The sequence below is a fragment of the Homo sapiens genome, chromosome 5 (assembly GCF_000001405.40).
Source record: "Homo sapiens chromosome 5, GRCh38.p14 Primary Assembly".
NCBI lineage: Eukaryota > Metazoa > Chordata > Mammalia > Primates > Hominidae > Homo > Homo sapiens.
In genome coordinates this window covers 108,990,343-109,018,319 of record NC_000005.10, presented here as the reverse complement: position 1 = coordinate 109,018,319, position 27,977 = coordinate 108,990,343, and the positions used below count along the sequence as shown (strand labels likewise).

At 38.2% G+C, this 27,977-nt stretch overlaps 1 protein-coding gene and 1 pseudogene across 18 annotated transcripts in view, besides 1 other annotated feature; one reads left to right on the top strand and one right to left on the bottom strand.

Moving 5' to 3' along the window:
• The window catches only part of FER (FER tyrosine kinase), a 448,945-nt gene that overhangs the window by 178,522 nt on the left and 242,446 nt on the right, over positions 1–27,977 (bottom strand). The gene's annotated exons all lie outside the window — the stretch shown is intronic.
• RNU6-47P (RNA, U6 small nuclear 47, pseudogene) lies at positions 3,380–3,485 on the top strand (annotated as a pseudogene).
• Positions 24,715–25,604: an enhancer, noted in NCBI's record as "H3K27ac hESC enhancer chr5:108328417-108329306 (GRCh37/hg19 assembly coordinates)". NCBI's record gives its function as "activates a minimal SCP1, AML or CMV promoter by ChIP-STARR-seq in primed H9 embryonic stem cells {active_cell/tissue: H9 hESC(primed)}" and the evidence as "EXISTENCE:reporter gene assay evidence [ECO:0000049][PMID:30033119]".

Below are 27,977 nucleotides of genomic sequence, written 5' to 3'. Positions count from 1 at the left end.
TTATCAGAAGACAATCTATTTCTAAGTGGGCAGGATAAAGCAAAACCACTCAATGACTATCACTGATACTGATACTTTCTAGTCAGTGTTAAGCAATTTTCATGGAAAATTTGTGGACTTTTAAAATTATTTCAGCCTGTTTGTCTCAGTCTCATTTTTTCCTTCTTATGTCTCCAATTCAATGAAAATGTACTAAGTAGAAGTAAAAAATCCAAAGTATTAAGTCATTTGACTAGGCATTCTAACTAAAACAGACAGGAGACAATAGGTTGACCATACATACATGATGCTTTCTTTCCCTACTATTACAAAGTAAGATGTTAGAAAATAGGGTTTTTAAAAAGAGAATCTATAGAGAAAATGAAAACAAAGGGTTTGTTACTATAGAAGTCCCAACAATCATATATGTGACCACAGATGGAGGTTGTCAGGGAAAGAAAAGGGTAGTGACTCTCTACAATGCATTAGTTCTCATAATTGAGGGAAAACAAGTAGGTTTTGTGAATTTCTTGGATAATGGTCATTTAAGTATTCACATTTCTAACCTGAGTTGTTGGATTTGGTCTCTGATAAGACTTATATTTTATCTTAAAGCAAATAAACAAATTAAATAACTATAATAACATTTAAGAGCAATGATGATATATATCCTCCAAAACTAGTCAACAAAATAAAAGCAAAATGAATTTTATTTTGATTTGGACCCAAGCTAAAAGAACTAAAATTTATGATATGCAAATAAGTTATCTCTTTTCTTATGAATTACATTATTTCAAGACAAAGGTTCAACAATGAATAACAGAAAGACTGTGAATATACAAGACTTATTTATAAGGCATGAAAATCTTACTATGTCATTTGGGTATTTCTGCAGCAATCATGAGCAGAGGACATCACATCCAACATTTTGCTTCAAAACAATCCAAAGCAATTCTTAAAACAATATGTTTTGTATTTGTAATGTATGAAATAAAATACTTTAAATTCTATAATAACTATCTTGTCTTTTCTAATAATTTTTGATTTGCAAAATATATAACATATCTTTTTGAAAAATTTGAATAAATCTAGGGATATTTTTCTTTCCTAGCCCCTCATTAGCCCTGCAATCCTCTCAAGCTCACATTTCAAAAGGCAACATAAAATAACTGTCTCATTTCAGTAAAAAGCCTGTAATATTAAAATTCCTAAAATAACTATGCAATAGAAATAAGAAAACAGCACGTTCATTACATGGTGTATTGGTCAGCTTAGGCTGCCATAACAAAGTATCATAGACTGGGTGGCTTAAACAACAGAATCTGCTGAGGGCTTTCTCACTGGATTGCAGACTGCCTTCTTCCCACTGTGTCCTCACATGGCCTTTCCTAGGCATATTCACAGGTAGAGATAGGTCTCTCTTCCTCTTATAAGACCACAAAACCTATTGAATTAGGAGGCCATTCTTATAACCTTATTTAACCTTAATTACCTCCTAAAAGCCCTACCTATAAAGACATGTTGGTGGTTCAACATATGAATCTGAGAGGAACTTAATTCTGTGCATAGCACATAATAAAAAACTATAATAATAATGTGGAAAATATGTATATATTCAAATAAAGAATAGATTCTAAACATTGACTAAGTATACACATACACATTTCAAAGTTTTGCTATTGCTTTGCAACAAAAGCTTTTTGTTTGACAAGCGACCTACAATTAAGTCATTTGATTTACATCTGTGGTCATGGCTTTATCAGTGATAAGAGAAAGCTGGTCTGATATCATCAGAGACACAAAAAAGTACACAAGTGTGTATTGTTTCCTGTTGTCCTTGGTTAAAGTGAAACCAGTTTTCTTCACACACTGCTTGCAATTTCACTTTGCTTTATAGGAGTTGCTCAATCCTCTTATCTTTATTCATATTCAACAAAAGTCCAAATCAGAGTGGCTGATACACAGTGAAGTTTTAATCAACAAAGACAATCTTGAACTACTCAGAAACTAATCCTCCAGTATTCTGTCACCTGGCCTTGTCATCTTCAAGCTTATCATCAGCCTATAGAATTGGGATGGATTAAGTTGTCCAAAATTAACAATATATTGTATGCTTCCCTACACAGGATGCCTTGGAATACATAAAGATCTTGTAGAAACAGATACTGACAGGGCTATAACATTAGCATGTAATTATAGTCTCTGATTACTGAAGAAGTGCACAACTTAGGTCAGATATAGAGGGAAAAAGTCACCTAGAAAAGGGCATTCTCAGCTCCTGGTGCCTTTGTTCTCTTTGCTCACTAATAGTAACCCTTAAACTAAATGTGACCCAGTCCTCCAAGAGGAGCAAAGGAAATGCAAATAATCACCCCCATTCAGGAGCATCCAAAGCCAGAGAAGGTAAATCTGAGATGCAATGTGACATAGTGGTTCAAACATTAAAGACATTCTTCGGAGTATGGAGGGGAATGAGGAGGTGGAAAAAGGCACACGATGCTGACAACACAGAAAAAAGCCAATTTCTGAATGACAGCAACTCATTCAAAACTAAAATTTAAGTTGAAAAAAGGCTTAATTTACACTAAGAAAATCATATTTCTGCTTTAAAATATAGGGTTGCTCATGATTCCATTTAATTTTGAATTACCATATATAATGCTGTCTCCTGCTTCCCCGAGGCATGATGTGCTGATCCTGCTCTAGTGCTTCCACAGTTCTGTTCATGCTTATGTCACCTGTCAGCTTGGATTATACTGATCTATTTACCTGTCAGTCTCCACTGGCAGATAGAAGCTCTTTGAGGGAAAAGGCTATGTCTCAGTCACCAGTATAGCTCCAGAGTGTATCAAGAAGCTGTCACATAATGGGCATTCAGTTAATGTGGCATGAAAGAAGGAATGAATATATGCTCCCTCCAACTACTACTTAAAAAAAAAAGTCACACGTTTGCTTCTCTATCTACATCTTAACCATTTTTAATTTATCTAAAAGTCAATTTTAAAAGAAAGTATTATTTGACGCCAAGAACTGGTATTTCAAGTTTTACTACAAAAGAAACCGATACAGCAGTTTTAAAAAGTGCTGAACAGCAAAATCAAAATGGAACGACACTACTGTGATAACTGCAAAGGGGCTAGCACATGTTGCTTTAATAAAAAAGCCATATTACTATGTGCTAGAAACAAGGGGCTTATCAAATCATACATATACAAAAAAATCAAGATGTATGTTAACTGTCAAACACAAAAACAACTTTTTTCTATAACTAGATTGAGTCTGAAATTATTTCTGAAGACACCAATTCCATACTTTCAAATTACCACCTACAGAGACATTTAGAACAAAACAGTCTTTAAAAAAAATCAACATTAAGAAGATAACTTTAAAAGCAAACATAGTGCTCGCTTCAGCAGCACATATACTAAAATTGGAACGATACAGGGAAGATTAGCATGGCCCCTGCGCAAGGATGACACGCAAATTCATTAAGCATTCCATATTTTTAGAATAAAATACCTAGGAATCCAACTTACAAGGGACGTGATGGACCTCTTCAAGGAGAACTACAAACCACTGCTCAATGAAATAAAAGAGGATACAAACAAATGGAAGAATATTCCATGTTCATGGGTAGGAAGAATCAATATCATGAAAATGGCCATACTGCCCAAGGTAATTTATAGATTCAATGCCATCCCCATCAAGCTACCAATGACTTTCTTCACAGAATTGGAAAAAACTACTTCAAAGTTCATATGGAACCAAAAAAGAGCCCACATCGCCAAGTCAATCCTAAGCCAAAAGAACAAAGCTGGAGGCATCACGCTACCTGACTTCAAACTATACTACAAGGCTACAGTAACCAAAACAGCATGGTGCTGGTACCAAAACAGAGATATAGATCAATGGAACAGAACAGAGCCCTCAGAAATAAGGCCGTATATCTACAACTATCTGATCTTTGACAAACCTGACAAAAACAACAATGGGGAAAGGATTCCCTATTTAATAAATGGTGCTGGGAAAACTGGCTAGCCATATGTAGAAAGCTGAAACTGGATCCCTTCCTGACACCTCATACAAAAATTAATTCAAGATGGATTAAAGACTTAAACGTTAGACCTAAAACCATAAAAACCCTAGAAGAAAACCTAGGCATTACCATTCAGGACATAGGCATGGGCAAGGACTTCATGTCTAAAACACCAAAAGCAATGGCAACAAAAGCCAAAATTGACAAATGGGATCTAATTAAACTAAAGAGCTTCTGCACAGCAAAAGAAACTACCATCAGAGTGAACAGGCAACCTACAAAATGGGAGAAAATTTTTGCAACCTACTCATCTGACAAAGGGCTAATATCCAGAATCTACAATGAACTCAAACAAATTTACAAGAAAAAAAGAACCAACCCCATCAAAAAGTGGGAGAAGGACATGAACAGACATTTCTCAAAAGAAGACATTTATGCAGCCAAAAAACACATGAAAAAATGCTCACCATCACTGGCCATCAGAGAAATGCAAATCAAAACCACAATGAGATACCATCTCACACCAGTTAGAATGGCAATCATTAAAAAGTCAGGAAACAACAGGTGCTGGAGAGGATGTGGAGAAATAGGAACACTTTTTTACACTGTTGGTGGGACTGTAAACTAGTTCAACCATTGTGGAAGTCAGTGTGGCGATTCCTCAGGGATCTAGAACTAGAAATACCATTTGACCCAGCCATCCCATTACTGGGTATATACCCAAAGGACTATAAATCATGCTGCTATAAAGACACATGCACACGTATGTTTATTGCGGCATTATTCACAATAGCAAAGACTTGGAACCAACCCAAATGTCCAACAATGATAGACTGGATTAAGAAAATGTGGCACATATACACCGTGGAATACTATGCAGCTATAAAAATTGATGAGTTCATGTCCTCTGTAGGGACATGGATGAAATTGGAAATCATCATTCTCAGTAAACTATCGCAAGGACAAAAAACCAAACACCGCAAGTTCTCACTCATAGGTGGGAATTGAACAATGAGAACACATGGACACAGGAAGGGGTACATCACACTTCGGGGACTGTTGTGGGGTGGGGGGAGGGGGGAGGGATAGCATTAGGAGATATACCTAATGCTAAATGATGAGTTACTGGGTTCAGCACACCAGCATGGCACATGTATACATATGTAACTAACCTGTACATTGTGCACATGTACCCTAAAACTTAAAGTATAATAATAATAAAATTAAATTAAATTAAAAAAAAAAAAGCAAAAGCAATGATAACACTAAAGCCAAAATGCATTTAACACTTCATCACCATTCTAGTAACAGGTAATTCCGCTCCACACGTTCAGCCAAGGGAGAAATAAGTGAGTTAAATATTCAATGAGAATCTTTACTTCCAATGTCCCTTGCTTTTGTCATTTTAAGTCTATCAAGTATGACTTTGGTAGTTTTTAATTTTTATTTCATTATTCATCATATTGTCATAGAGTTTTCCAGTATTTATAGTCATTGATTTTTTTTTCTCTTTTCCATTTTGGCAAAAGCCAAAAGGAAAAAAGGCACTTCATAATTTAAAAGAAACTGTAATTAGCAGTTATGCTGAGCCATACCTCTACATTCACTTAATGTCCTATCAAGACAAAGTATTTCTTTGAACAAAACTCTCCAATATCAAGTTCTACAGATACTGCTGATGTAGTGCCATCGCAATGATACCACACAGGTCTCAAATTTTTGGAAAGGCTTTATGGAATCATATTACCTGAATGTTATTGATTTAAAAATAAAAGCTTTTACTTTGAAACAAATCAATAAAAAGTGGGAGGGAGGCAAGAATAAATGCCTCTTAAAGATGACTAAATCAGTATTGGAATTTCATATTTAGCCTCAAAATACGTACATAAAACTTTAATTGTGACACGTGAAACTTGCCATCAATTGAAGGCAATGTTGCTATCCCTCCCATGAAAAACATACTAAATAAGCAACTCACCAATTCTCCACAACAGCTGCTCTACATTTAATCACTAAACCGGCTGAGTTGTATTTATCTATGTGAACATTATCTTAGTGTAATCATGATCTTTACTAAATTTGCTAAGCATTTTAAGCAAACCTATAACATGGCTGGCATACGTGAATACACAGTCTACCTCCAAGAAGGTTACAATCAAACACCTCTTCACAATAAGTAAAAATAAGGAAAGAACTAAGTGCGGAGCACCAAAGAGTGCGGCGAATGCAGAGAAGAGATGGTTACTTTGATCAAGGACTGAGGGCTAAAGATGGCTGCACAGTAGAGAAGTAGGCTCTGCTGGGGAGAAAAGGGAAGCACAAGAAGGCAATACTCCAGGTAAAGAAAACAGCATGAGCAAAGTAACTGACGCATGAGTGTTCATAGTGGCTGTCAGAAACAGAGGCTAAAGAAAGGATCAATTGGAATTAGGTAAACTAGTTACATTAGATTTCCACAATCAAAGAAAATTGTATCAGCTCGCTATTGTTTTGGAGGTCTTTTGTCCCAAAGAAAAAATAAAAGAGGAAGCAGCCCTGAATCTGCACAGGTCTGTAGATTTATTGGGTTTGATTTAATTTGAATGAGAGCAAAAAGATAAAATAGCCCTGAACGCATGCAGGCAAACTTATATTCAAAAAAATAAAAGCAAGATAAAGCCCTGCTAAAAACATAAACATGCAAAAAAGGAGAAAACAATGCCTTGTGAGAGAAGGATAACCATGGGAGGTTAGGGGAAAACTCAAAGAGGCTAGCTCATTAAGTCCAAGAAGTTAAAGGAAATATTACAAATGGCATGCTAATAACAACAAAGGGATAATTTAAAAAAGAGGTGAGGTAGAAAGGTAACTGAGCGAGACAAGAAACAAATTCCAGTTAATGTACTGAAAACAAAGACAAACCAGAAAGTACCTTATCTCACTAATTCTTTGTCTAAAATTACATTTCTCCTCTGATGTTAAACATTAGAGGTCCTCCGTTGTGCATACATTTTGCTGTATCCATCTCTAATTTTTAGAGATGCTGATTTTTAGCCTGATATTTACATCTTCTCAATATCTCACTGAATTCTGTTCTTTGTCCCACTTTTTAAGTCTTAGAAGAATTTCTAATACTATGCATCAAAAGAAGCTGATTATATAATTTGAAAAAAACAGATAAAAACAATACCTATAGCATTAACACATTTAAAAAACATGCTTAAAATGTTTTTTAAATGTAAATGTATTTGGACATTAGATATGCATATTTAAAAACCTAAAAGAATGTACACAGAAAGCTTAATACTGTGTACATCTGAGTGAGGCTCATGGGTAATTTTTAATTCCTTTTACATTTTTCCATATGTATGTTCCTCACTTTTTCAAAATAAACTCATTTCACTTTTTTACTTCACAAAATAAACTGATTTCATTTCACTTTTGCCAAAAATATTCAAAACTCAAAAACACTGTAAATTACTCAAATACTAGTATTAAAATACAAAGAATAATGGAAACCTGAATAATGGCTCTGAGGTAGAAAACGAGAGGGCAGATGTTCCAAATTTATAGTCAGCAGGACTTTATCAGCAACTGAATATGGGAGGTAAGAAAAGGTACAAAAATAATCTAGTTTGCATAACTACAGATAATGCCATGGACCGGGGATCAAGATATAAATCCAGGAAGGGAAGAGAAGATGTGGGGTGAGAAATAGGGATTATGAATTCTCTTTTGGACTATCTTAATTTGGATCACCCACAGGAGATCCAGGTGTTGATCCTTGGAGACGATTATAAATATTGGTGAAAACCTTATGAAACTGGTAAGAGAACAGGAACACAAAACATTTAAAGAAGGATAAAAAAGGCTGGGCACGGTGGCTCACGGCTGTAATTCCAATGCTTTGAGAGGCCGAGGCGGGCGGATCACGAGGTCAGGAGATCGACACCATCCTGGCTAACACGGTCAAACCCCGTCTCTACTAAAAATACAAAAAATTAGCCAGGCGTGGTGGCGGGCGCCTGTAGTCTCAGCTACTGGGGAGGCTGAGGCAGGAGAATGGCATTAACCCAGGAGGCGGAGCTTGCAGTGGGCCGAGATTGTGCCACTGCACTCTAGCCTGGGCGACAGGCTGTCTCAAAAAAAAGAAGGATAAAAAAGAAAACTAAGAAGAGATAACTAAGAGTCACAAAATAAGAAATATAGTAGACTGTTTAATATCCACACCTTTCCCACCCAAGTACAGGTACCTCTTTGAAATGTGATCTTGCTGTTTCTCCTGTCCAGAGGTAGTGTCTCTTTCTCATTTTGACTCTGAGTTAGTCTTGTTACTTACTTTGACCAACAGATTGTGGCAGAAGTGACACTGTGGAAATTACAAAATTTAGACCTGAAGAGGCCTTGATGTTTCCATCTTCACTGTCTTAAAACACTACCCGTGTTTAACAGATCATGACACTGTTAAACCTGGGCTTAAAAGACTAGCCATTTCAGCTGTCTCAACTGAACCCATCCCTTAATCAACCTGTCAGCTGAATGCAAATACATGAGTAAATCCAGGCTAAGTCAGCAGAACCTCCACCCAGTCAACCCAAAGAATCATGAGAAACATAAAACATTATTTTTTAAGACACTATATTTTTGGGTGGTGGCTTATACAGGAATAAGTAACTGCAACAAGGACAAACGGAATTGTGTCTTGAAAGAAGCAAAACGCAAAGGGAGAAGGTAGATTCTATAAGAGTAGTGAGACTCTTCCAAAAATAGCAGACATTTCAAACAGGCTGAGGGCTGAGAAGAGATGATTAATGCTAGTAATGAGTTGTCTCCAACATTTGAGAGTTAAATTTAAGTAAGGTGGTCAGGGGTAGAGGCTTTTGGTGGGTTTCTAATAGGTCGCTGATGAGAAACATCAACAAAGTAAGATATATTATGCTTATAAGTTACTTCATAAGAAAGGAGTCATGACCTATTAAAAAGATGGAAGAGGGCCGGGCACGGTGGCTCACCTGTAATCCCACCACTTTGGGAGGCTGAGGTGGGCAGTTCACTTGAGGTCAGGAGTTCAAGACCAGCCTGGCCAACATGGTGAAACCCCGTCTCTACTAAAAATATAAAAATTAGCCAGGCATGGTGGTGTGCACCTACTTGGGAGACTAAGGCAGGAGAATAGCTTAAACCCGGGAGGCGGCAGTTGCAGGGAGCCGAGATCACGCCAGTGCATTCCAGCCTAGACAACAGAGTGAGACTCCGTTTCAAAAAAAAAAAAAAAAAAAAAGACTGAAGAGGAAGACTAGACTAGTGAAATGAAAGCTTTGGCTATTGTTTTGTTGTTGTTGTTGTTGTTGTTTTGAGATGGAGTTTCGCTCTTGTTGCCCAGGCTAGAGTGCAACGGCACGATCTTGGCTCACTGCAACCTCTGCCTCCCAGGTTCAAGCAATTCTCCTGCCTCACCCTCCCGAGCAGCTGGGATTACAGGCATGCGCCACCATGCCTGGTTAATTTTGTATTTTTAGTAGAGACAGGGTTTCTCCATGTTGGTCAGGCTGGTCTCAAACTCCTGATCTGCCCGCCTCGGCCTCCCAAAAGGCTGGGATTACAGGCGTGAGCCACTGTGCCCGGCCTGCTATTATTGTTTAAGATAAGGATGGAGTGGCTGAGGAAAAAGACTGTAAGGAAATACGCAAAATATTTTTTTAAAGCAGAGAAAATGATACATGAAAGGCCTAGGGAAGGTGAGAAGAGAAGGGACAAGATAGATGAGTTAACTAGAGAAAAATGAAGAATCAAAGACCTGGGTGAGGTGAGAGGAGCTGCGATAACACAGAGAAAATTAGGACAGGTGAAAATAACTGCTGGTGGAGTGTGCAAGTGTTTCTTCTTCAGGTTCTTAGTAAAAGAAGGAAGCAAGTCCCTGACTAATACTGAAGAAACTACAGACAGTTTAAGAACTTGAGAAAAAATGGTAAAGGTTGGAAATAGCTGTGGGAAATGGGGAGAGGAATCAATTAGACATGAGAACTATTAGGAACATGGTAAACATCTTTAATGATAGTTGTAGTCAGGAAGAATAATTACCATTATGTCATTTAAATAGACAATAAAATGATTTTTGTCAATTTTATGTACTAATAAACTCAATAATATAAGGTTAAAGAGAGATACACTTTATTTCCTCCGTGAGTACAAGATTATAATTTTAATCCACTAGTTTGTCTTTCTGTGGTTGTCAAAAGTGCCCACAAAGAAGACATACAGATCACAAATAACCACATGAAATGATGCTCAACATCTTTAGTCATTAGGGAAATACAAATTAAAACTACAGTGAGATACCATTATATATACCTATGAGAGTAGCTAAAAGTAATTATCTAATTTATTTATTTTAAACTGAAAAAACTAAAAGCTAGTAAAAATGTGGAGTCACTGGAATTCTCACGCAGTTGGTAGGAATGCAAAATAGCAGAGCCACTTTAGAAAATAATTTGGCAGTTTCTTATAAACTTAAAGGAACACTTACTAGACAAACCACCAATCTCATTCATAAGTATATACTCGATAAATGAAAAGTTAATGTTGACATAAAACGCTTTAAATGAATGTTTATAGTTTTATTCATAATTGTTAAAAACTCAAAAACTCTTTCAACTGAGGAATGAATAAACAAATGGTGGTACATCACAAGGAAATGTTATTCACAATAAAAGGAGGAAATTACTGATTTGTGCAACAATACAGATGAATCCCAATTGTACTTTGCCAAATAAAAGAAGTCAAATTGAAAAGAGCACATACTGTACGATTCCTTGTATATGACATTCTCACTTTCCAAAGGGTAAGTAGCTGGGTTGACTAGAAAGGGGCATAGAATAATTTTGGGAGCTGATGCAATTGTTCTATAATTTGACTGTGGTGGTAAACAACTATATGAATTTGTCTAAACTTATCAGAACTATATGCTAAAAAGAATTAATTTTCACTTCTCTATGTAAAATGTATCCCTTAATAAGTCTGACTAAAACAATGTGAAGTGCCTTTTCAAAATGAAAGGACACTGTAAAGACTGATGTCTCCTACTTTGGGTTAAAAGACAACATGATCACTATACTGATATAATGTTAATACCTCATGTATCTCAGAATATGAGCTATTACTTCGAAACTGCATTTGGCCAATATCAATAGACAATGTAATTAAAACTTTTTAAATCATAAATAATTTCTCAATTTTCTGAATAACCCATCTAAAAAATAATGCCTCAATTTTCTGAATAACCCAACTAATAAAAACCTCTGAACAACATCAGAATATAAAAAGCACAGGTCCCATAGCATGTTAATCTTATTCAATACCAAAGTTAAGTAAACTTTTGAAGCAAAGAACTGAAGACAACCTCTATCAAAGTTTTCCTCCAGAATTGTGCTCTTAGTATCAATATATTGCTTTAATAATCTTAATTAAGTGGAGGTGAGGCAGGTAAGATTTTTTTTCCCCCCACCATATGAGCATCACATTCACTTTAGGCTAATTTTAGAGGACATTTGTGGTAAAATGAAAACAGGTTTGTTCAAAAACTTAGATTACAATTTTTTACTCATCTTTAGAAATCACATGTAAATAACAATTCTCCCCCCACCCTTCCTATTTTTGTTATAGTTTTAAAAACAAAAAGCCAAAAAGCTAAGAGAGCTAATTTCATCACAGGTATATGTTAAACACAAAAAGCAAAACCTTGCTTACTGCTTGTATTACTCTATTCTCACACTGCTAATAAAGACTTACCAAAGACTGGGTAATTTATAAAGGAAAGAGGCTTAATGCACTCACAGTTCCACATAGCTGGGGAGGCCTCACAATCATGGTGGAAGGCAAAGAAGAAGCAAAGGCTTGTCTCACATGGCGGTAGGCAAGAGAACACTTGCAGAGGAACTCCCGTTTATAAAACGACCAGCTCTCGTGAGACTTACTCTCACAAGAACAGCACAGGAAAGACTCGCCCCCATGATTCATTACCTCCGCCAGATACCTCCCACAACAGGTGGGAATTATGGCAGCTACAATTCAAGTAGCTCAATATAACTGCTCAATGAAAACTCCTCACAGCTTTCTTCATTTCACTATCTCATTACAGAAGGGTAAAAGGAAAAAGGAAAATTGTTTAACCTCCCCAAGATTCAAAGTCATCATTTACAAAATAGTCTTAATGCTGCTTCTCTCTACATCATCAGGTTGTTACAAAAAGCATATAAGTAGCTTTGTGCAGTACCATAAACAAAATCATGATATGTTCCTATAGTATATCTGAGTTAATCAATACTGGTTAAAAACAATAAATATTTTAAAAATGTACAATTCCTTTTCATTCAATTAATTGTTCTAAAAGTGGTCTCCAAGCGAATACAAATTTGTCTTAAGTTATACTCTGGTTGAGTGAAAACAATATTTAAATGGAATGATTAATTCATTCATTCTTACAACAGTGAGACACTTCCTGGGTGTGAAGCACTGTACAAGAGTTTACAAAGCACAGGAAGGCAGAACACATGGTCCTTGCTGCTAAGGAACTTCAACTGAAGGGAAATTTAAACTCTTGTGTGTTCAGTATGCTTTCATTGGTGTGCAAGAGCATGTGTATCTAAAACAAGTGTTACCTAAAGGTTCCCTAGCTATTTTTTGGAACTCCTCTGTCTAAACCAGAATTCTTTTCCAACTAGTTCCATTGTTTTCTATATTTACTAGAATTTAAATATCTTGTATATGTGCATATGTTTGTATGTGTCTGGGAGTATGCACAAACGTTGGAATCTTCCACAAATAGATGACACATGCTTATACATATATACATCACAACTCATGTAAATATAATACCAACCATTAACCGCATATGTATGTGTTACATAAGTATGTTTGAATAAACACATACAGAGAAATACACACACACACACACACACGGGATAGTTTTTTTCCATTTGCCAACCTGCCTCACCCTCTAACACCTTCTATCCTCTCTCCTGCTTGGATCTATTACATGCCCCAGGAGGCTGACTCCTCAGACTTCACTTGAGGACTGTCTTGTTGATGGACCTCCAGTTAGATTCCAGCATGAGATCCAAAGGTGGAAGAAAAGAGGTCTGATTTCTTTCCCACTCCTTTCCTCTTGCTGTGTTTAGGGCAGCTGCATCATCTCGTCATGGGCAGCCCCATTTGCAAAGTTCTGGCACACACTGGATTCTGGTAACTATTTCTGCCTCTTGTCCCTTTATCCCTAGGGATGGATAGTAATAAGTTCCTACTGTGGCTAGTTTCCGAGAAATCAGCCATCCCTAGTCAGTTTGTTCCTTAATCCTGGAGTGCTTTTATCAGTAGTTCTTTTTATTAAAAAACAAAACAAAACAAACATAAAAAAAACAACTCTTCATTTGAACCATTTGGTAATATGATACTTATTAATAAATATATAAATTTGTCAACCACCACAAAATTTCAAATGAAACAAACAACCTAAAATGAACACAATCACTAATGTTTCATAAGGTGCAAAACCAGGTTCCAAACCAACATACTTTTGACTTTTTTGTTACTATAACAGTAGTACATTATAATAGAAAACACTATAAAAAACCACCAACACTATAATGCTCTGTAATGTAAATTTTAAAATATTTTAAAATAAATTTGTAATCATATGGTAAATTTGTGGTCATGCTGTTTTGTGGCCTGTCTGTTCAATTAGAAGGATATTTTGTAAGCATATTACCATGACATTAATCCAAACACTTATTTTTAATAGGCTGCATAATATCCTTTCATATAAATTTATAGTCATTTACAGCTCCTTGTTGTGGACATTTGGATTTTTTCCCATTTTTGCTGTTGTTTTCAATGTTTTGGTTAGGATCCTTAAATGGCTAATATTTATTTATAATACATTCCTAGAAATAGCAGTATTTGAAAAAGGATATGAATATTTTGAAACTACTGAGTGATAGCCAATAAACTATTCTGTGATTAGGGAAATGTTATCTCTGATGTATGCAATATGTAGCCACAGGCCACGTGGAGGCTGATGAGGGCTTAAAATGTGGTTACTGAAACTGAGGACATAAATGTTTAAGTAGCCAATGTATCTAGTGGTCATTTAGAGCATAGGATAGCTCTAGATTCTTACTGCCCAACTGTCATTCAGAAAAGTTGTAGGGATTTACATTTGCATCAGCAGAGTATGAGAGTGCTCACTTCCTCATACCATTATTAGCAATGACATTTATTGTTTTCTAATATTTGTCAATTTGACAAAAAAAAAGATTGTACAATTGGTTTGTTGTTTGGTTTTGTTTCTTGAGACCCGGTCTTACACCGTCGCCCAGGCTGAAGTGCAGTGGCATGATCACAGCTCACTACAGCCTCAACCCCCTGGGCTTAAGTGATCCTCCCACCTTGGCATCCCAAGTAGCTTGGACTACAGGTGTGCGCCACCATGCCCAGCAAATTTTAATTTTTTTTGTAGAGATGGGGTCTCTCTATGATGCCTAGGCTGATCTTGAAATTCTAGGTCCAAGCAATTCTCCCACCTCTAGCTCCCAAAGTGCTGGGATTACATGTAAGAGAAACCATGCCTGGCTATAATTTTTTAATTTTTTAAATTTAAATTTTTGAATGCTTGGGATAAATATTTTTATTTTTATTTTTTTAATTTTATTATTATTATACTTTAAGTTTTAGGATACATGTGCACTACGTGCAGGTTTGTTACATATGTATACATGTGCCATGCTGGTGTGCTGCACTCATAAACTCGTCATTTAGCATTAGGTATATCTCCAATTGCTATCCCTCCCCGCTCCTCCCAACCCACAACAGGCCCCAGAGTGTGATGTTCCCCTTCCTGTGTCCATGTGTTCTCATTGTTCAATTCCCACCTATGAGTGAGAACATGCGGTGTTTGGTTTTTTGTCCTTGTGATAGTCTGCTGAGAATGATGGTTTCCATCTTCATCCATGTCCCTCAAAGGACATGAACTCATCATTTTTTATAGCTGCATAGTATTACATGGTGTATATGTGCCACATTTTCTTAATCCAGTCTATCATTGTTGGACATTTGGGTTGGTTCCAAGTCTTTGCTATTGTGAATAGTGCTTCAATAAACATACGTGTGCATGTGTCTTTATAGCAGCATGATTTATAGTCCTTTGGGTATATACCCAGTAATGGGATGGCTGGGTCAAATGGTATTTCTAGTTCTAGATCCCTGAGGAATCGCCACACTGACTTCCACAATGGTTGAACTAGTTTACAGTCCCACCAACAGTGTAAAAAAGTGTTCCTATTTCTCCACATCCTCTCCAGCACCTGTTGTTTCCTGACTTTTTAATGATCGCCATTCTAACTGGTATGAGATGGTATCTCATTGTGGTTTTGATTTGCATTTCTCTGATGGCCAGTGATGATGAGCATTTTTTCATGTATTTTTTGGATACAAAAATGTCTTCTTTTGAGAAGTGTCTGTTCATATCCTTCGCCCCCTTTTTGATGCGGTTGTTTTTTTCTTGTAAATTTGAGTTCATTGTAGATTCTGGATATTAGCCCTTTGTCAGATGAGTAGGTTGTGAAAATTTTCTCCCATTTTGTAGGTTGCCTGTTCACTCTGATAGTAGTTTCTTTTGCTGTGCAGAAGTTTTTAGTTTCATTAGATCCCATTTGTCAATTTTGGCTTTTGTTGCCATTGCTTTTGCTGTTCTAGACATGAAGTCCTTGCCCATGCCTATGTCCTGAATGGTAATGCCTAGGTTTTCTTCTAGGGTTTTTATGGTTTTAGGTCTAACGTTTAAGTCTTTAATCCATCTTGAATTAATTTTTGTATAAGGTATAAGGAAGGGATCCAGTTTCAGCTTTCTACATATGGCTAGCCAGTTTTCCCAGCACCATTTATTAAATAGGGAATCCTTTCCCCATTGCTTGTTTTTCTCAGGTTTGTCAAAGATCAGATAGTTGTAGATATGCGGCGTTATTTCTGAGGGCTCTGTTCTGTTCCATTGGTCTATATCTCCGCTTTGGTACCAGTCCCATGCTGTTTTGGTTACTGTAGCCTTGTAGTATAGTTTGAAGTCAGGTAGCGTGATGCCTCCAGCTTTGTTCTTTTGGCTTAGGAGTGACTTGGCAATGCGGGCTCTTTTTTGGTTCCATATGAACTTTAAAGTAGTTTTTTCCAATTCTGTGAAGAAAGTCATTGGTAGCTTGATGGGGATGGCATTGAATCTATAAATTACCTTGGGCAGTATGGCCATTTTCACGATATTGATTCTTCCTACCCATGAGCATGGAATGTTCTTCCATTTGTTTGTATCCTCTTTTATTTCATTGAGCAGTGGTTTGTAGTTCTCCTTCACATCCCTTGTAAGTTGGATTCCTAGGTATTTTGTTCTCTTTGAAGCAATTGTGAATGGGAGTTCACTCATGATTTGGCTCTCTGTTTGTCTGTTATTGGTGTATAAGAATGCTTGTGATTTTTGCACATTGATATTCTATCCTGAGACTTTGCTGAAGTTGCCTATTAGCTTAAGGAGATTTTGGGCTAAGACGATGGGGTTTTCTAGATATACAATCATGTCATCTGCAAACAGGGACAATTTGACTTCCTCTTTTCCTAATTGAATGCCCTTTATTTCCTTCTCCTGCATAATTGCCCTGGCCAAAACTTCCAACACTATGTTGAATAGGAGTGGTGAGAGAGGGCATCCCTGTCTTGTGCCAGTTTTCAAAGGGAATGCTTCCAGTTTTTGTACATTCAGTATGATATTGGCAGTGGGTTTGTCATAGATAGCTCTTATTACTTTGAGATATGTCCCATCAATACCTAATTGATTGAGAGTTTTTAGCATGAATGGTTGTTGAATTTTGTCAAAGGCCTTTTCTGCATCTATTGAGATAATCATGTGGTTTTTGTCTTTGGTTCTGTTTATACGCTGGATTACGTTTATTGATTTTCGTATGTTGAACCAGCCTTGCATCCCAGGGAAGAAGCCCACTTGATCATGGTGGATAAGCTTTTTGATGTGCTGCTGGATTCAGTTTGCCAGTATTGTATTGAGAATTTTCCCATCAAATGTTCATCAAGGGTATTGGTCTAAAATTCTCTTTTTTTGTTGTGTCTCTGCCAGGCTTTGGTATCAGGATGATGCTGGCCTTATAAAATGAGTTAGGGAGGATTCTAGTTTCAGAAGGAATGGTACCAGCTCCTCCTTGTACCTCTGGTAGAATTCAGCTGTGAATCCATCTGGTCCTGGACTCTTTTTGGTTGGTAAGCTATTGATTATTGCCACAATTTCAGCTCCTGTTATTGGTCTATTCAGAGATTCAACTTCTTCCTGGTTTAGTCTTGGGAGAGTGTATGTGTCCAGGAATTTATCCATTTCTTCTAGATTTTCTAGTTTATTTGCGTAGAGGTGTTTATAGTATTCTATGATGGTAGTTTGTATTTCTGTGGGACAGGTGGTGATATCCCTTTTGTCATTTTTTATTGTGTCTATTTGATTCCTCTCTCTTTTCTTCTTTATTAGTCTTGCTAGCGGTCTATCAATTTTGTTGATCTTTTAAAAAAACCGGCTCCTGGATTCACTGAGTTTTTGAAGGGTTTTTTGTGTCTCTATTTCCTTCAGTTCTGCTCTGATCTTAGTTATTTCTTGCCTTCTGCTAGCTTTTGAATGTGTTTGCTCTTGCTTCTCTAGTTCTTTTAATTGTGATGTTAGGGTGTCAATTTTAGATCTTTCCTGCTTTCTCTTGTGGGCATTTCATGCTATAAATTTCCCTCTACACCCTGCTTTGAATGTGTCCGAGAGATTCTGGAATGTTGTGTCTTTTTTCTCGTTGGTTTCAAAGAACATCTTTAGCGATAAATATTTTTAAAATATGTTTTCTATCCATTTGTTTTGCTTCATGAATTGTTCTCTTTCTTTACTCATTTTTTTTTACTAGAGAGTTTGTTTTTCTTAGAACAAATGTACTCTATATATTAAATAAATTAATGTCTGCTTAAATATGTGGCAAATAATTTTAAAATTCTGTTTATGATGCTTTTTGATAAACACGTTTTACATTTTAATATAAACTATGGTTCTTCCATTTGTGTCTTTTTCCTAAGTCAATTTAGTCTCAAATAAACTTATATATATATTATATATCATCTTTATGAAAAAAAGGTCAACATTAACCAGTAAATATATACATTAAAAGACTATGCCAGCGTCCAACACATAGCAATGCAGAAAAATATAAAGAGAAAGAATCAAAAAAACTGCTGGACTCAGAAACAAAATAAATACTTTCAGAGAAGAGAGATGCAGAGTTAATGCCCCAAATCAGCTGTACTACTGTGTGCTATGTAGTGAAATTAGACAGTTATAGTAAAGGGCTTTCCTCCTACTTATTAAAAGAGACTAAAAATCAATCCATAATCCCACATTGAAGCAAATTTAAACAGTAATACATAGAAGTGGAAAACAGAAGAGCTAATACACACAGGAAAAGATGTTAAATCATCTAGTAATCAAAAAATATAATCTAATCTAGTAACATAATTGAAACCATACCTACCAGGATGGCAAAAAAAAAAAATAGTAAGAATGGTAAAGGTGTACATAAATGAAAACTCTTTTGCCATACTGATAGGAGTATAAATTGGTACAAACATATTGGGAAGCACCTTAGCAACATCTAATAAAATTAACGACATGCAGACCCTTTCTTCTTGGTACTCTACTTCTAGGTATACAAAATAAAAGAAACTCTCACACATACGTCACATCTCTAGAAGAATCTTCTGTATGTTCTGTTTGTGTCAGTGAAAATTAAAAGCAAAACAAATAAAAATATCCATTTAAAGAAAAATGTATGAATTGTGTTACATCCATAAATTTTAAAAATCTATTTAAAAATTAAAAACAGTTGAAACAAATGAACCAGAGCCACACTATCCATACAGGTGAATATAATTTTTTAAATGTTCAGTACTAAGAACTGGGTTACAGAATAGTAAAATTGTATAAAAAATTTAAAACGTAACAAATGATAAACATGCAAAGACATATTGTGTATGGCTAGTACAAATAGCACAGTGAAGTAACAGTATAAAATTCAAGGAAGGAGAAATCAGAGAAGTATTATAGATAACACTAACTGGAAAAAACATAGAATCAAGGAAGGCTACAAGTTTATGCATAATGTTTCAATTCTTACTTTTAAAAAAACTAAAGCAAGAACAGTCAAATGTTAGAAAAAAATTAAAAGTTAGTTCATATATGGGTATTTACTAGTTTAGTCTCTGTATTTTTTCATGTTTGAAACAATTCATATTATGTATCAAAGTAATAAAAACAACCTACAAAGAGTTCTCTAGAACCTTTTCTAAAATACAACATATATAAATCACTTTAACATCGAGGCAAAAATCCTCAGTAAAATATTGGCAAACGGAATCCAGCAGCACACCAGAAAGCTTATCCACCACAATCAAGTCAGGTTCACCCTGTGATGCAAGGCTGGTTCAACATACACAAATCAATAAATGTAATTCATCACATAAACAGAACTAAAGACAAAAACCACATGTTTATCTCAACAGACCCAGAAAAGGCCTTCGATAAAATGCAACATCCCTTCATGTTAAAAACTCTCAATAAACTAGGTATTGATGGAACATACCTCAAATTAATAAGAGCCATTAATGCGCCAAGATGGCCAAATAGGAACAGCTCCAGTCTGCAGCTCCCAGGGAGAAGGCAGGGGATTTCTGCATTTGTAACTGAGGTATCCGGTTCATCTCACTGGGACTGGTTGGACAGTGGGTGCGGCCAATGGAGGGCGAGCCGAAGAAGGATGGGATGTCGCCTCACCCAGGAAGCACAAGGGGTGTTAGCGAATTTCCCTCCCCTGGCCAAGGGAAGTCATGAGGGACTGTGCTGTGAGGAACACTGCACTCTGGCCCAGATACTGTGCTTTTCCCAGTCTTCACAATCCGCAGACCAGGAGATTCCCTCAGGTGGCTAGGCAACGAGGGCCCTGAGTTTCAACCACAAGACTGGGCGGCCGTTTGGGCAGTACCTAGCTAGCTGCAAGAGTTTTTTTTTTTTTTTTTTTTTTCATACCCCGGTGGTGCCTGGAACGCCAGCAAGACAGAACCGTTCATCCCCCGGGGAAAGGGAGATGAAGCCAGGGAGCCAAGTGGTCTGGTACGGCAGGTCCCACACCCACGGAGCCTGGCAAGCTAAGATCCACTGGCATAAAATTCTCACTGCCAGCACAGCAGTTGAGGTCGACCTGGGATGCTGGAGCTTGGTATGGGGTAAGGTGTCCACCATTGCTGAAGCTTGAGTAGGTGGTTTTACCCTCACAGTGTAAACAAAGCCACAGGGAATTTCGAACTGGGAGGAGCCTACCACACACAGCTCAGCAAGGCCACTGTGGCCAGACTGCCCCTCTAGATTCCTCCTCTCTGGGCAGGGCATCTCTGAAAAAAAGGCAGCAGCCACAGTCAGGAACTTATAGATAAAACCCCCATCTTCATGAAACAGAGCACCTGGGGAAAGAGGCAGCTGTGGGAGCAGCTTCAGCAGACATAACCGTCCCTGCCTGATGGCTCTGAAGAGAGCAGCGGATCTCCCAGCACAGCACCGGAGCTCTGCTAAGGGTAAGACTGCCTCCTCAAGTGGGTCCCTGACCCCGTCTCTCATCACTCCTATTGAACATAGTATTAGAAGTCTGGCCAGGGCAATCAGGCAAGAGACAGAAATAAAGGGTATTCAATTAGGAAAAGAGAAAGTCAAATTTTCTCTACTTGCAGATGACATGAGTGTATATTTGGAAAACCCCATCGTCTCAGCCCAAAATCTCTTTTTTTTTTTTTTTTTGAGACAGGGTCTCGCTCCACCACCCAGGCTGGAGTGCAGTGGCATGCTCTCGCTCACTGCAAGCTCTGCCTCCTGGGTTCACGCCATTCTCCTGCCTCAGCCTCCCGAGTAGCTGGGACTACAGGCGCCCACCACCAAGCCCGGCTAATTTTTTTTGTATTTTTTTTTTTTTTTTAGTAGAGACGGGGTTTCACCGTGTTAGCCAGGATGGTCTCGATCTCCTGACCTTGTGATCTGCCTGCCTCGGCCTCCCCTCAGCCCAAAATCTCCTTAAGCTGATAAGCAACTTTAGCAAAGTCTCAGGATACAAAATCAATGTGCAAATTTCACAAGCATTCCTAAACACCAATAACAGACAGAGAGCCAAATCATGAGTGAACTCCCATTCACAATTGCTACAAAGGGAATAAAATACCTAGGAATCCAACTTACAAGGAATGTGAAGGACGTCTTTAAGGAGAACTACAAACCACTGTACAAGGAAGTAAAAGAGGACACAAATAAATGAAAAAACATTCCATGCTCATGGATAAGAAGAATCAATATCGTGAAAAGGGCCATATTGCCCAAAGTAATGTATAGATTAAATGCTATCCCCATCAAGTGACCACTGACTTTCTTCACAAAGTTGGAAAAAACTACTTTAAATTGCATATGGAAACAAAAAAAGAGCCCACACAGCCAAGACAATCCTAGCAAAAAAGAACAATGCTGGAGGCATCATGCTACCTGACTTCAAACTATACCACAAGGCTACAGTAACCAAAACAGCATGGTACTGGTATTAAAACAGATATACAGACCAACGGAACAGAATAGAGGCCTCAGAAATAACACCACACACCTACAACCATCTTATCTTTGACAAACCTGACAAAAACAAGAAATGAGGAAAGGATTCCCTATTTAATAATTGTGTTGGGAAAACTGGCTAGCCTTATGCAGAAAACTGAAACTGGACCCCTTCCTTACACCTTATACAAAAATAAACTCAAGATGGATTAAATACTTAAATGTAAGACCTAAAACAATAAAAACCCTAGAAGAAAACCTAGGCATTACCATTCAGGACATGGGCATGGGCAAAGACTTCAGGACTAAAACACCAAAAGCAATGGCAACAAAATCCAAAGTTGACAAATGGGATCAAATTAAACTAGAGAGCTTCCACACAGCAAAAGAAACTATCATCAGAGTGAACACGCAACCTACAGAATGGGAGAAAATTTTTGCAATCTCTCCATCTGACAAAGGGCTAATATCCAGAATCTACAATGAATTAAACAAATTTACAAGAAAAAAACAACTCCTTCAAAAAGTGGGCAAGGGATATGAACAGACATTTCTCAAAAAAAGACATTTATGCGGCCAACAAACATACGAAGAAAAGCTCATTATCACTGGTCATTAGAGAAATGCAAATCAAAACCACAAAGAGATACCATCTCACACCAGTTAGAATGGTGATCATTAAGAAGTCAGGAAACAACAGATGCTGGAGAGGATGTGGAAAAATAGGAACATTTTACACTGTTGGTGGGAGTGTAAATTAGTTCAGCCATTGTGGAAGACAGTGTGGTGATTCCTCAAGGATCTAGAATCAGAAATACCATTTGACCCAGCAATCCCATTACTGGCTATCTACCCAAAGGATTATAAATCATTCTACTATAAAGACACATGCACACGTATGTTTTATTGCAGCACTGTTCACAATAGCAAAGACTTGGAACCAACCCAAATGCCCATCAATGATAGACTGGATAAAGAAAACATGGCACATATACACCATGGAATACTAAGTAGCCATAAAAAAGGATGAGTTCATGTTTTTGCAGGGACATGGATGAAGCTGAAAACTATAATTCTCAGCAAACTAACACAAGAACAGAAAACCAAACACCACATGTTCTCATTCATAAGTGGGAGCTGAACAATGAGAACACATGTACATAGGAAGGGGAACATCACACACTGGGGCCTGTTGGGGGGTGGGGGGCTAGTAGAGGGATAGCATTAGGAGAAATACCTAATGTAGATGACAGGTTGATGGGTGCAGTAAACCACCATGACACGTGTATACCTATGTAACAAACCTGCATGTTCTGCACATGTACCCCAGAACTTAAAGTATAATAATTAAAAAAAGAAAAGAAAAGCCATTTATGACAAAACAACAGTCAATACCATACTGAATGGGCAAAAGCTAGAAGCATTCCCCTTAAAACTGTACAAGACAAGGATGCCCTCTCTCACCACTCCTTTTCAACACAGTATTAGAAGTTCTGGCCAGGGCAATCAGGTAAGAGAAAGAAATAGAGGGTATACAAATAGGAAGAGAGGAAGTCAAACTACCTCTGTTTGCAGATGACGAGATCCTACATCTAGAAAACCCAATAGTCTCAGCCCCAAATCTCCTTAAGCTGGTAAGTAACCTCAGCAAAGTCTCAGGATACAAAATCAATGTGCAAAAATCACAAGCATTCCTATATACCAACAATAGACAAGCAAAGCACCAAATTATGAATGAAGTCCCATTCACAATTGCTACAAAGAGAATAAAATACCTAGGCATACAGCTAACAAGGGAAGTGAAGGACCTCTTCAAGGAGAACTACAAACCACTGCTCAAGGAAATAAGAGAGGAAACAAACAAATGGAAAAACATTCCATGCTCGTGGATAGGAATAATCAGTATCATAAAAAAGGCCATACTGCCCAAAGCAATTTATAAATTCAATGCTATTCACATGAAACTACCACTGATATTCTTCACAGAATTAGAAAAAACTACTTTAAAATTCATATAGAACCAAAAAAGACCCCAAATAGCCAAGATAATCATAAGCAAAAAGAACAAAGCTGGAGGAATCATACTACCCAACTTCAAACTATACTACAAGACTACACTAACCAAAACAGCATGGTACTGGTACAGAAACAGACACAAAGACCAATGGAACAGAATTGAGATCTCAGAACTATGACTGCACATCTACAACCATCTGATCTTCGACAAACCTGGCAAAAACAAGCAATGGGGAAAAGATTCCCTATTTAATAAATGGTGCTGGGAGAACTGGCTAGCCATATGGAGAAAATTGGAACTGGACCCCTTCCTTATACCTTATACAAAAATTAACTCAAGATGGATTAAAGACTGAAATACAAAACCCAAAACTATAAAAACTCTAGCAGAAAATGTGGGGCATAGGCATGGGCAAAGATTTCATGATTAATATATCAAAAGCAATTGCAACAAGAGCAAAAACTGACATATGGGATCTAATTAAACTAAAGAGCTTCTGAACAGCAAAAGGAACTATCATCAGAGTGAACAGACGACCTACAGAATGGGAGAAAAATTTTGCAATCTATCCATCTGACAAAGTATTAATATCTAGAACCTACAAGGAACTTAAATAAATTTACAAGAAGAAAACAACACCATTAAAAAGTGGGCAAAGGGCATGAACAGACACTTCTGAAAAGAAGACATTTAAGGGGCTAATAAACATGAAAAAAAAGCTCAACATCACTGATCATTAGAGAAATGCAAATCAAAACCACAAAGATACCATCTCACACCAGTCAGAAGGGCAACTATCAAAAGTTAAGACACAACAGATGCTGGCAAGGCTATGGAGAAACAGGGATGCTTTTACACTGTTGGTGGGAATCACCCAAGTGATTAACATCAGAAGAACCATCCTCAACTTGTATTTGAAAATACAGCCCTCTCCCTCTCCCTCACCCTCGCCCTCGCCCTCGCCCTCGCCCTCACCCTCGCCCTCGCCCTTGCCCTCTCCCTCGCCCTCGCCCTCTCCCTCTCCCTCTCCCTCTCCCCACGGTCTCCCTCTCCCCACAGTCTCCCTCTCCCTCTCTTTCCACAGTCTCCCTCTGATGCCGAGCCGAAGCTGGACTGTACTGCTGCCATCTCGGCTCACTGCATCCTCCCTGCCTGATTCTCCTGCCTCAGCCTGGCGAGTGCCTGCGATTGCAGGCGCGCGCGGCCACGCCTGACTGGTTTTCGTATTTTTTTGGTGGAGACGGGGTTTCGCTGTGTTGGCCGGGCTGGTCTCTAGCTCCTAACCGCGAGTGATCCGCCAGCCTCGGCCTCCCGAGGTGCCGGGATTGCAGACAGAGTCTCGTTCACTCAGTGCTCAATGGTGCCCAGGCTAGAGTGCAGTGGCGTGATCTCAGCTCGCCACAACCTCCACCTCCCAGCCGCCTGCCTTGGCCTCCCAAAGTGCTGAGATTGCAGCCTCTGCCCGGCCGCCACCCCGTCTGGGAAGTGAGGAGCCTCTCTGCTTGGCCGCCCATCGTCTGGGAGGTGAGGAGCCCCTCTGCCTGGCTGCCCAGTCTGGAAAGTGAGGAGCGTCTCTGCCCGGCCGCCATCCCATCTAGGAAGTGAGGAGCGCCTCTTCCCGGCCGCCATCCCATCTAGGAAGTGAGGAGCGTCTCTGCCCGGCCGCCCATCGTCGGAGATGTGGGAAGCGTCTCTGCCCCGCCGCCCCGTCTGGGATGTGAGGAGCGCCTCTGCCTGGCCGCGACCCCGTCTGGGAGGTGAGGAGTGTCTCTGCCCGGCCGCCCTGTCTGAGAAGTGAGGAGACCCTCTGCCTGGCAACCGCCCCGTCTGAGAAGTGAGGAGCCCCTCCGCCCGGCAGCCACCCCGTCTGGGAAGTGAGGAGCGTCTCCGCCCAGCAGCCACCCCATCCGGGAGGGAGGTGGGGGTCAGCCCCCGCCAGGCCAGCCGCCCCGTCCGGGAGGGAGGTGGGGTGGTCAGCCCCCCGCCCGGCCAGCCGCCCCATCTGGGAGGTAAGGGGCGCCTCTGCCCAGCCACCCCTACTGGGAAGTGAGGAGCCCCTCTGCCCGGCCAGCTGCCCCGTCCGGGAGGGAGGTGGGGGGTCAGCCCCCCGCCCGGCCAGCCACCCCGTCCGGGAGGTGAGGGGCGCCTCTGCCCTGCCGCCCCTACTGGGAAGTGAGGAGCCCCTCTGCCTGGCCACCACCCCGTCTGGGAGGTGTACCCAACAGCTCATTGAGAACGGGCCATGATGACAATGGCGGTTTTGTAGAATAGAAAGGGGGTAAAGGTGGGGAAAAGATTGAGAAATCGGATGATTGCCGTGTCTGTGTAGGAAGAAGTAGACATGGGAGACTTTTCATTTTGTTCTGTACTAGAAAAATTCTTCTGCCTTGGGATCCTGTAGATCTGTGACCTTACCCCCAACCCTGTGCTCTCTGAAACATGTGCTGTGTCCACTCAGGGTTAAATGGATTAAGGGCGGTGCAAGATGTGCTTTGTTAAACAGATGCTTGAAGGCAGCATGCTCGTTAAGAGTCATCACCACTCCCTAACCTCAAGTACCCAGGGACACAAACACTGCGGAAGGCCGCAGGGTCCTCTGCCTAGGAAAACCAGAGACCTTTGTTCACTTGTTTATCTGTTGACCTTCCCTCCACTATTGTCCTATGACCCTGCCAAATCCCCCTCTGCGAGAAACACCCAAGAATGATCAATAAAAATAAATTAATTAATTTAAAAAAAAAAAAGAAAATACAAAGAAAAGGAAATAGAATTACTCAGCCAAAGGAAGAGAAAGCTTTGAAATAATTTAATATATTTCTGTGGCTAAGTTATATCTTGAGAGCTTTAAAGTGGTTATAACAGAAAATTTTTCCTGAGTAAAATAGCAAGTGCTAAAAAAAACCTTACTGAATAAACTTAAAACCTTACTGAATAAACAAATGAATGAATAACAAATGAATAAGGAAGGAGATATTGAAATACAGAAAAAAAAGTTTATCTGCTTGTGATTATAAATTCTGCACAAATGTGATATAAATGACAATCCTGGAATAAATGTTGAACTCTTAAAAAAATAAAATATCAAAGTATACGATCTGAAAAGCTGCTAATTTCTTTTAATGATACATCTTTTCATTAAATTATAAAACCTTACATATGGATAAACAAATTAATAATTTTCAGTAATTTGAGTGTTAAAAATTTGTCTGTTTTTGGGGGGGCCGTGACACTTCATTGTCTATAATCACTTAAGATTATAAAATATGCCTATACTTTTTTCCTTTGCCTTAACAATAATTAGAGTAATTAAACTATGTTATAATTCAATTAATTGCATTATCCAGAATCCAGAAGCCAGCTGAAATACACACACACCCATATATACATGTGCGTATATACACATATACAAAATGAGACAGACATGCTATGCTAATATTGGTATTTAATTTCAATATTGAAACTTTCTCCTTTATACTTAATAATTTTCTTATTTTCTGTCTTATTACAAATAAAAGTACCCCTGTTTAAGATATATATTTGTATATATGTGTGTATATATACATATACTATATATCTAAATATTAAATATTTATGTCAAACTCAGAAGCACAATATGCAAATACATATTCATTCTAATTCTCAACAAAGCCTTATTTCTTGCTTCATAAGTTATGTACATATTTTAATATTAAAAGTAGAGTACTAGGTATTTTAGCAGTATCAGTGTGAAAAATCATGGATGTAAATCTAGAAACATATTTCATTTCTGTACTATATTTGGGTAGAGAATCTCTGTATTGCTTGATTTTATTTAAGCTTCCTTCATTTTAAAGATGTTAATAAAGATGACTCATCTATTTCACTGAATAATTACTCTTCATTTTCTCACTCATTTCTGGCTTTATAAAGATGTATTTTCTGTGTCTCTCTCTCTTAAGACCATTTAATCTCTTTCAACTCCCAAATATAGCATTCCTATTAATACTTCCCAAATATTTATACATTATTATAATACTTTCTGTTATCCTCTCATCAATTTCCTTCATTTTCTCTTCACCTGTAATTTTTTTGCAAGTATACTTACCTTTACATTTATATTTCTTTGAAATGTATTAAGTGGGCAGTTAGGATGAAATGTATCTACATACATACACATGCATACACCAATAGAGATACAAGTTGTATCTAATTTTCTAAGCTGAAATATTGATATACATAAATCAATATGTAATATACAATATTTTTAGAAAACTCTAAGTCTAGTA